The sequence below is a fragment of the Homo sapiens genome, chromosome 22 (genome assembly GCF_000001405.40).
Source record: "Homo sapiens chromosome 22, GRCh38.p14 Primary Assembly".
NCBI lineage: Eukaryota > Metazoa > Chordata > Mammalia > Primates > Hominidae > Homo > Homo sapiens.
In genome coordinates, this window is record NC_000022.11 from 49,069,812 (window position 1) to 49,079,726 (window position 9,915).

The following is a 9,915-nucleotide window of genomic DNA, read 5'->3' on the forward strand; positions in this document are numbered from 1 at the left end:
GGTTTCACCATGTTAGCCAGGATGGTCTCGGTCTCCTGACCTCGTGATCCACCCGCCTCGGCCTCCCAAAGTGCTGGGATTGCAGGCGTGAGCCACCGCGCCTGGCCCAGTATTCTAATTTTGTGGGACCACTGCCGTCTATTCAGTCCACGGTTGGCAGAAACATGGTCATGTGATGCCCACCTGCATTTACCCACCCTCTATCTGTAGATCTGCTTTGGAGAAATGTCTGTTCAAGTTCTTGGCCCGTTTTGTTACTGGGTTGTTTGGCTTTTGTTGATGATGAGTTGTAGAAGTTCTTTATAAACTCCATTAGCCTTGTTTTTAGTATAATTTATTTCATTGTAAGCTTATGTGATTTAATGGGCTAAATTCAGCAATCAGCTCACAGCATTCCTGGAAATTCTGCCACTGCTCTCATGGTCCATGTGACCCAGTTCCAGCACGGTGCTGTCTCTCCCTGCCCCGACTGTGGCCCGGATTAAGAAGACAATGTTCATGGCAGGGCTTTGAAAAGTCTAAAGTGTTTTCCTAATCTGAGGACATACCACTATTATCATTTATGGCCGTTTTTTGACTCAACACGTAGGCCCAAGAAATGCATTTGTATTAAGGTCTCTTTCTTGTGAGTGGAACTGTGGTGGGGAGAGGAGGCTGGAGCCACAGAGTGAGATGACACCTCGAGCAATCTGTGAGCTGCCCCCCTCCTGCCCCCTGATACCCCAACAGCTGATAAATAAGAAAGGCAAAACGGGCTCCCCTCCCACAGCCTTTGAAGAGTCTCAGGGCATTTTCAGCCCTTGAAAAGCACTTAGCTGATAAAAACACATCCTAATGAGGAAGAGACAGGCTCTTTTCAGCTGCGCAGCCCATTTTGACAGTGACAGGCGAGAGCCCTTTCGCTCAGAGCCCCGGGAGTCTTGTTCCTGGGCAGATGGCCATCAGGAGGACTGTGCTCAGCACTCCTGCTTGCAGGCCACTTCCCTGGGGCTGTGGGTCTTTAGCTTCTGTCTCTTGTTCTTGCTCTGAGTGAGAGACCAAAGAGGAATTCACGGCAAAACAGAAGGTCTGCTGAAAACCTGATAAACGGAGGCCACCCTCACACTGCCTGCTGATGAGGGCAGTCCTATCCCTGCTCCAGCCAGTCTTTGTCTTGTTGTATTATTTTATCCGAAGTTTTTCCTTCCTTCCCTTCCTTCCTTCCTTCCCTTCCTTCGTTCCTTCGTTCCTTCCTTCCTTTCTTCCTTCCTTCCTTCCTTCCCTTCCTTCGTTCCTTCCTTCCTTCCTTTCTTCCTTCCTTCCTTCCTTCCTTCCCTTCCTTCGTTCCTTCGTTCCTTCCTTCCTTCCTTTCTTCCTTCCTTCCTTCCTTCCTTCCTTCCCTTCCTTCGTTCCTTCCTTCCTTCCTTCCCTTCCTTCCTTCCATTCCTTCCTTCATCCCTCCCTCCTTTCCCTTCCCTTTCCTTCCTTCCTTTCTTCTTCCTTCCTCTCTTCCTTGTTTCTCCCTCTCTTTCTCTCTTGCTCTCTTATTTTGCTTTTTTCTTTCTTCCCTTTCTCCCTCTTCTCTCCTTCACTCTTCCCACCTCCCTTCCTTCCTTCTTTCCTTCCTTCCTCCCTCTGTCCCTCCCTCCCTCTTTTCTTCTTTCCTGCCTTTCTTTCTCTTTTTGGTGCATCTCAAGTACAAAGAACAGGATCCATCATTCTGCAGTAATCTAAGAAGAGCCCATAAACACACTTCCCTAAGTCCCTGCTAGGGTCTTGATCATGACATCTGTCTAAGAACATGGTCCTGTCTAACCCACCCCCTGATTTCTCCATTCCCCCAAGGGCAAACTCTGCCTGAGTGCAGTGTTCATTCTTCCCTCGTATGTACTTTTATTCCATTTATGTGTATTTCTAAATATGTATTCATGTGTTATACTGTTGGATTGGTGCAGTTTTTAACTTTCGGAAAGAGTAACATGTAGTGAGCAATTGTACTTTTTCACTAAATATTTGATTGCTGACATTCATCACATGGCTGCTCTTCATTTGTTTTGACCATTGTTTTCCATACGTCGCAGGCCGACATGTGACAGCTTGAGGGACAAACCTGGCTGCCTCCTGTCTTTGTAAACACAGTTGTCTTGGAGCACAGTCTTGCATGCATTATCTCTGGCTGCTTGTGCATTGCAGAGCAGAGTTGAGAGGTTGTGAGAGAGCCAACACGACCTGCAAAACCAGAAATATTTTCAATCTGATCCTTTTTAGAAAATGTTTGCAGGTGCCTGAGTGGTTGATCCTGTTTTTGCTACTATGAAGAACAGGGGGCTGGGAGCAGTGGTTGACGCCTATAATCCCAGCACTTTGGGAGGCTGCGGCGGGTGGATCTCTTGAGGTCAGGAATTCGAGACCAACCTGGCCAACATGGTGAAATGCCGTCTCTACTAATAATACAAAAGTCAGTTGGGCATGGCGGTGAGTGCCTGTAATCTCAGCTACTCAGGAGGATGAGGCAGGAGAATTGCTGGAATCTGGGAGGCAGAAGTTGCTGTGAGCCAAGATCACACTGCTGTATTCCAGCCTGGGTGACAGAGTGAGACTCCACCTCAAAAAAAAAAAAAAAAAAAAGAAGAAGAAGAAGAAGAAAAGAAAGAAAAAAGAAAAAAAAAAGGACAGGGGAAGGTTCTTGTACACATCCCCTAGTTCACGTTCAAGAGTCTACTTTGCCTAGAAATGCAATTGGCAGTCATGTGGCAGGGAATGCTCACCTTTGGGGAATGATGCTTAAGAGTTTCCCAAAGCTTTGTGCCAGTTTATGATTCTACCAGTAAAATCAGAGACCCTGGGAACGTTCATTGTCTCCACCACCCACTATTGTCAGTCTGTTTATTTTACTGACAATTATAGACACGTTTTCCTGGGGAGCCATGGAGGACATTTTATCTGGGGGCTAACACCATGGGTCTCCTGTAAAATGTGGGTTCTCCTAGGAAACTGAATGGGAAATCTGTTCATTCTGGCTTTACGGGTGTGTAGCAGCTCCTAAGAAGGCGTTTCTGACATGATTTCTGGGAGGCTTGGTGGGCTCGGGGGTGGGGGTTCCTTATGGTGAAGCAGGGCAGGCAAATAGTTACCTACCACCTGTGCTGGGCGAACAGCCCTGGATCTGCTGGAGTGTCAGGTCAGCTTTACAGGCATTGGGCTTCCTCAGCAGTGTCCCTGAGCATATGGAAGGTGTGTGTTTGTGGGTAGACTTCAATATGGATCCCTTTTTGTTCAGAGGGGAAGAACATTGAGGCCTCAAGCTCTGCAAGCTGTTACCTTTTGGGGGTCTTCAGAGGGCCCTAAGCAGCCGGCCAGCCCCGTAACATGGGGATGTCATGGCTCTGCTGCTGCTCAGCTCTAGGGGAGCCTTGAGCGAAGACTGGCCTCAAAGTCCAAACCATTACCCATGCCACATGGTCACTCCACAGTGGTCTTGCCGTGGATAGGACCATCACAGCTGGGCCAGGGAGGCCATATGTGCCTAAGCCCTGGCCTGCCCACACCTGCCCTGGGGCCTCACCTGTTCTACCCGATCTCCTCTGACCAACTGAATGAATGAATGAATGAATGTGAGAAGGAGCTTGGAGTGAAGCTTGCTCTGAGAAGGGCGACCAATGTAGTGGCAGGACCAGGCCACCCAGGGCTAGTGGGGACAGTGGGACACAGGGATGTGGGGACCAGGGGAGCTTCAGGTGGGTGAAGATCACCACTGTGAACCTCAGAAGAGCTGCCGAGGGGAAGAGGGCCCAGTCTGTGCCTTGTGTTCTTATGTGGGAGAATGTGTCCACCTGGGGCATGCTACGGGAAGGGATTCGATGTGGTGTAAGAAGGACTTGATGAAGATTGAGCTGTCTATGGCTATTAAAGGCTGGCTCAGTACTATTACTGCTATACTATCATTACCATCATCATCACCATCATCATCGTCATTACCACCACCGTCATTACCATCACCGTGATTACTAACACCACCATCACCATGCTCACCATCACCATCACCATTATCATCACCATCCCTACCATAATCACCACCATCATCACCATGATTACCATTATCATCGCCATCATTACCATCACCATTATCACCATATCATTACCATCACCATCATCACCATTGCCATCATTACCATCACCATTATCACCATCAACACCACCATCAACACCGTGATCACCATTATCATCACCACCATCATCACCGTTATCACTATCAACATCAACATCAACATGATCTCCATCATCATCACCATCATCATCATCACCACCACTATCATCATTACCGTCACCATGATTACTATCACCACCACCATCATCACCATGATTACCATTACCATCACCATTATCATCACCATCATCATCCTTACCATGATCATCACCATCATCACCGTGATCACCATCATCATCACCATCACCATCACCATGATCACTATCACTATCACCATCATCATTACCACCATCAGCAGCAGCACCATCATCACCATGATCACCATCATTATCACTATAATCACCGTCATCATTACCATCACCATCACCTTTATCACTGTCACCACCACCATCATCACCATCACCATCAACACCAACAACATCATTATTGTCTTTCAACTAGGTAGCAGTGACCATTAATTTTATGTGTCAACTTGACTGGGCCCTGGAGTGCTCAGATGACTGGTGAAACATCATTTCTGGGTGTGTCTGTGAGCGGGTTTCTGATGAGATTAATGTTTGATTAGATGGACTTAGTAAAGCAATGGCAGTCCCCAGTGTGGGGAGGCATCGCCTAATACTTTGGGGGCCTGAATAGAATACAAAGCATAGGAGGAGAGATTTTGCTCCTCTGCCTGACTGCTTGACCTGGGACATCAGTCTCTTCCTGCCCTCAGACTAGAACTCACACCACCAGCTCCCCTTGTTCTCAAGCTTTCAGTCTCACCCTGAATTACGCCAGGGCTTTCCTGGGTCTTCAGCTTGTGGACAGCACGTGGTGAGCCTGCTAAGCCTTCATAATTGTATAAGCCAATTCCTTGTAAAAAATTTCCTTCTGGTCAGGTGCAGTGGCTCACACCTGTAATCCCAGCACTTTGGGAGGCTGAGGCGAGGGGATCACGAGGTTAGGAGATTGAGACCATCCTGGCTAACACGGTGCAACCCTGTCGCTACTAAAAAAACTACAAAAAATTAGCCAGGCGTGGTGGCAGGTGCCTGTAATCCCAGCTACTTGGGAGGCTGAGGTGGGAGAATGGTGTGAACCCGGGAGGCGGAGCTTGCAGTGAGCCGAGATTGCACCACTGCACTCTAGCCTGGGTGACAGAGTGAGACTCCATCTCAAAAAAAAAAAATCTCCTTCTATATGTACATCCTATTGGTTCAGTTTCCCTGAAGAACCCTAATACAGTGACTGAGGCACACTTTGGCTAAACCCACTGAGCAGAATCAGGGTCCTGGGAAAACACCAGGCTGTGGTCAAGGGTCTCAGGCTTCAGCCCCAGTCCAGCCACGGGCCAGTGGGGAGGCCGGGAGTCAAGCATCATACTGGCTGCTTCTCCCTGACTCTATGCTCCTTTCTGGCGCTAGGCTAGCATCCAGTGAGCCTTACCCATCCTGGTATTTTGCTCACAAAGGTGAGCAAGTCCAAAGGCACCGAGTCCACGTGAGCCCTAGGTTCCTACAGACTCAGGAGTTTCTCCTGGGGAAAGTTGTCAGAAGGAGGCAACCACACTTCTGAGAGCTGCCTAGCAATTCTGAACTCCCTGTGACCCTCAATCAGAGCGATTTGTTGAGCAAACAATAGCAGGTGATTAATAAAAGATGTAAGAGAAGGACCTGTCTTCTCGTGGTTAATTGCCTCTCACCTTTCCAAGACAATCCAGCACATTCTCTGTTGTGTCCCCTGAGAAACGGGGCTCCTTCCCAGAGAGGCAGGTGTGAAACCCAGGGCTCCAAGTGTGTTTCCAGCAATGTTAAAATGTTCTAGCCACTCCTTGGTGTTGGTTGGCATGAAAAGGTGCCCTCTCAGATGGTGAGAGCATGTCTGTGTGCATGTGTGAGGCACACAGATAGCTGTGGCGTGTCTTATTTCTTCAAATCCTCCCTAATTCTTTTCATGTCAAAGCCCATTCAGGTAGTGCTAGAGGCAGCAGAAGCCACTGTGTGGTTGGAACAAGGAGTGGCTCCAGTCACTGCAGGGAGTGGGCAGGTGTTATGTCCCAGCTGTGGCCGCAGCAGCATCACGAAGGGGCCGCCTTCCAAGTCAAACCAGAGATGGGTCTCTGAGAACAGCTGTGACAGCCACCTTCCCTCATGTCTTCACCCATCCCCAGCCATACCTTGTTATTTTTTACATTCATCTCTCCATGTATTCACAGTTTTACAAAGGAGCACACGGAACCCAACCCAGTCTGGGAAATAGGCGTGATGCCCCGCAGGAGGTGGTGAGGGAAGGTGGGGCCAGGTGCTCCAGGTTAGAGTGGCTGGGGATGGTAAGCGTGGGAGGCAGAGGGGGAGGCACCAGGAGCCTTTCACTTAGAGATGACGAAGGGAGAAGGAAAAGACCCATCCAGAATCCAATTATGTTAACTCATCTCTGCTATTGATCCTACATTCCAGGCCTGGGAAAAAACCCCAAAACCTAATTACTGCACCGCTAATGACTGAGATGACAAATCGAGGAGCCTCCAGGCTGCTGATGGTAAGAATTTAAGGCTCTGAGTCTCTGTGGGGGAGGGTGCCCTGGGCTCTGTCACTTAAGGAGGGCTTCTCTCCTGGCTTTGCGGATCACTCAGCACACACCAAATGCCTCTGGGCACCTGAAAGCCCACGCACGATTCCTACCGCGTTGGTTTTCTTCATTTCCACCTGTAGATGTTGGAGCCAGTTGATTCCAGAGGTTCTCGTTCTGAGGAAGGGTATTTGCTGGCCTCTTCTCCCAAGCCCAGAGAAAGACAGCAGGCTTTCCATGGAAAAGACGCCAATGAAATCAGTTAGGGCCCCTGTCTTCCGGAAGCCTTGGGAGGTGGTGCTGGCCATCTGCGGCTGTTGTCCTGAGCACCTCTGGAGAGGCAGCTGGAGTGACAGCCATATCGCCGCTGCGATCTGCTGATATAATTACATAGAGAATGCATTTAATGCTTCAGTGGGCAAGTTGGTATAACAGTTTAATTTTTCACTGAAATCTAAATTTGCTCCCAGACTGTATATTTTTCTATCATATTAGATAATCAATCAGAGCAGAAATCCAATTTTAACTCCATCAACACCCCTCTGGAGAAAGTTACACAGTGAGCGCCCTCTGGTCTAGGCTGCTCGAGGCTGGCGTGTGAGCCCACACTGGGATGTGCAGATGAGGAGTGGTCCCTTGGCTCACCGAGGCCTCCCCAGGAAGAGACTGGCTGTGGTTCCCCAGGAGCTGAGGCCACTGGCTGGGTGCAGGGTGGGGGCTGCCAGCTGTCCACGGTGCTGGGGGTTCCCCCCTGTCCCCTCATGGCCATAAGGAAGAGGCCAGGCTGCAGAGAAGTGGCCAGACAAAGCAGTGACCTCAGGGTCTTCCAGAGACCTTCCTGCTGCTTCTTGGGCATTGGACGATTCTAGTGTTTTTCATGCGAAGCAGACGGGGCCTTTGGACCTTCTGTGGACAGGGGTTCTGGAAAACCCCTGCCCACATGTAGACAGACTTGTGTCCCCAAACCACGTTCTGATCTTGGCCCTGCTTCTTCCCCATGGAGTCAGTGAGAGGCTGGGACTTCAATTCTTCTCTCCTGCCTTCCCTGCGGCACAGGGCAGCCTGCTTCATGGCCACAGGCCTGTGGTTGGTGACTGAAGAGGCAGAAGACAGGGCGTGGGTGGGTGGTCTCTGCCTGGTGGCATGCAGGTTGGTGGGAAGGCCATGTCACTCGGGTGGGCTGGGGGCAGCTGGTCCAGCTGTCTCAGGCAGGGCCACCACTCTGGGCAGGCTGTGTTCCTGAGGGGCCAGCTCACCGCCATCGTCACCTGCAGACACCAGACAGCATGTGGGAGTCTCCGTCTGCTTCAGAACGAGCCCCTGACAGACGGCAGGGACAAGCCCCCCGGGGTGGGGGCACCCACAAGCACACACAGTCCCCAGCCTCGCACCAGCCTGGACTTTACTGGAACAGGGCAGCCACGTTTGGAGGCCCCAGGTCTGCACCCTCCTAAGGCTGGGACCGCAATTGCCATACCCAGAAATCACAGACTCCAAAGAGGCATTCCATCCATGAATGGGGGTTTTTATTCTATAAACAGGAAGGACTCACTAACTGGGCCACATGAGAGAGAGCCTGCTGGGATTGGGATTTGCAAAAAAATTTGTTTTTTTGGACAACTGAAAAGCAACCCGTTGTTATCACAGGCGGCGTGGGCAGGGCCTGGAGGGCATCAGGGGTCTCCTTGCTCAGGAGGTCCTGAGTGGGCGAGTGGACCTTGCCGTCCATCACCCGCACATCCACCTCACAGCGGGGAGGGTGTCAGAAAGAGGACGACGCCAGCGTTCGTGCCTTTAGGATTTCCAGGCCACGGTTGTCTGTGGAAGGGTCTAGAATGGCGTCTTCTCTGAGGGGTGCACATGTTAGCAGGCGTCTCTCTTGCCTTCCCGGCCAGCAGGCTCTCTGAGGTCACCACCGCAGCTGCACGCCTTGGCATCCTGACCTCGGGCTTCTCTGTGACTTGAGCAGCTCGGCCTCTGCAGATGCACGGGATGAAGGGGAGGTACGCAGCCCGGCCCCCGCCAGCACTGTCCTCCCTACATCTATTTCAGAGGACAATGTGCTCAGCTGTGTGCCAGGTTCAGACCCATGCCTGGGTGGCAGGAGGGGGAGACACAGCCCCCTTGGCCTTAGCCAGGAAGCGAGGTGATCGCCGTTAGGGCTGCAGAAGGAGACCAGAGGAGAGGCCCTCCCCTGGTGAGGTATTAACCATGTTTCCTTGTTTCTGTGTATGATGCATGGACCTGGGGGGATGGGGGCTGCTGATCAGGGAGGGACTGGGCACTCCAGCCCAGGTTAGCCTGTCCCAGAGCTGGCAAAGGACTCTCCTGTTATGCAAACCCCCCAACCCAGAGCCCACAGTCCACCTGCCTCCTGTAGCAGAGCCTACACCAGGTCCCTGCCCTCATCACCAGGGCCAGGTACCAACTAGGGGCAGCCCCCATGCTCTGGAGCCAGCTGGAATCATTCAAACTCCCCAGCTCTGAACCCATTCAGCCTGCTGCCCGGCCTGGTGCTTCTTCCCAGGAAGCCACAGGAAAGGTTCTGCCGCAGCTCCCCCAGCTCCCTCTGCCCGTGGCCACCCCGGAGCCTCCCGACGTGGCCCTGCCTGGTGTGGGTGCCTCATTCTCTGGATCTGTGAGTAATAAGTGATCTTTTCAGTGACAGCCATCTCCTGACCTGTCGGCCTCACCATACCTGGATACAAATGTAACCTGCAGCCTAAAGCTGCTGCGTGGAGGGCGGTCCACTCTGTACCTGGCAGCCGGCTGTGCGAGTGCTGATGGGGTGGGGCAGGAGGTTGGCACCAGGGTTCTTTCCATCCTGTCCTCCGCAGATGTGCGGGCTTCACTCTTGGCACTCACGGTCCCACTCAGGGCTCTGTAGGACGAGGCTTCCCTGGACTGCTCACCTCTGGTTCCAGCGTGGTGGATATTACATGGGGGCTCAGGCCCAGATGTGCGGTGATGCTGGCACTGCCAGGGGACACAGGGATGTCCCTGCCCCTCCAGGCTTCACCTCCAGGCAGCGTTCTTCTTGGCTGTGGCCCAGACACCCCCCACCCCGCCCCTGAGCTGAGGTGGGCCAGGCTGTGGTGGGGACTTGCCTGGCGGGGCCTCCAGGCAGGGGTTGGGCTGAAGCAGGCCGTAATGAAGGCCGGTGAGGCTGGTTCATGACC

The 9,915-nt window shown here is 51.9% G+C and overlaps 2 annotated features.

Annotated features, from left to right (window-relative positions):
* Window positions 6,949-7,509: an enhancer, noted in NCBI's record as "H3K4me1 hESC enhancer chr22:49472572-49473132 (GRCh37/hg19 assembly coordinates)". NCBI's record gives its function as "activates a minimal SCP1, AML or CMV promoter by ChIP-STARR-seq in primed H9 embryonic stem cells {active_cell/tissue: H9 hESC(primed)}" and the evidence as "EXISTENCE:reporter gene assay evidence [ECO:0000049][PMID:30033119]".
* Window positions 7,510-8,068: an enhancer, noted in NCBI's record as "H3K4me1 hESC enhancer chr22:49473133-49473691 (GRCh37/hg19 assembly coordinates)". NCBI's record gives its function as "activates a minimal SCP1, AML or CMV promoter by ChIP-STARR-seq in primed H9 embryonic stem cells {active_cell/tissue: H9 hESC(primed)}" and the evidence as "EXISTENCE:reporter gene assay evidence [ECO:0000049][PMID:30033119]".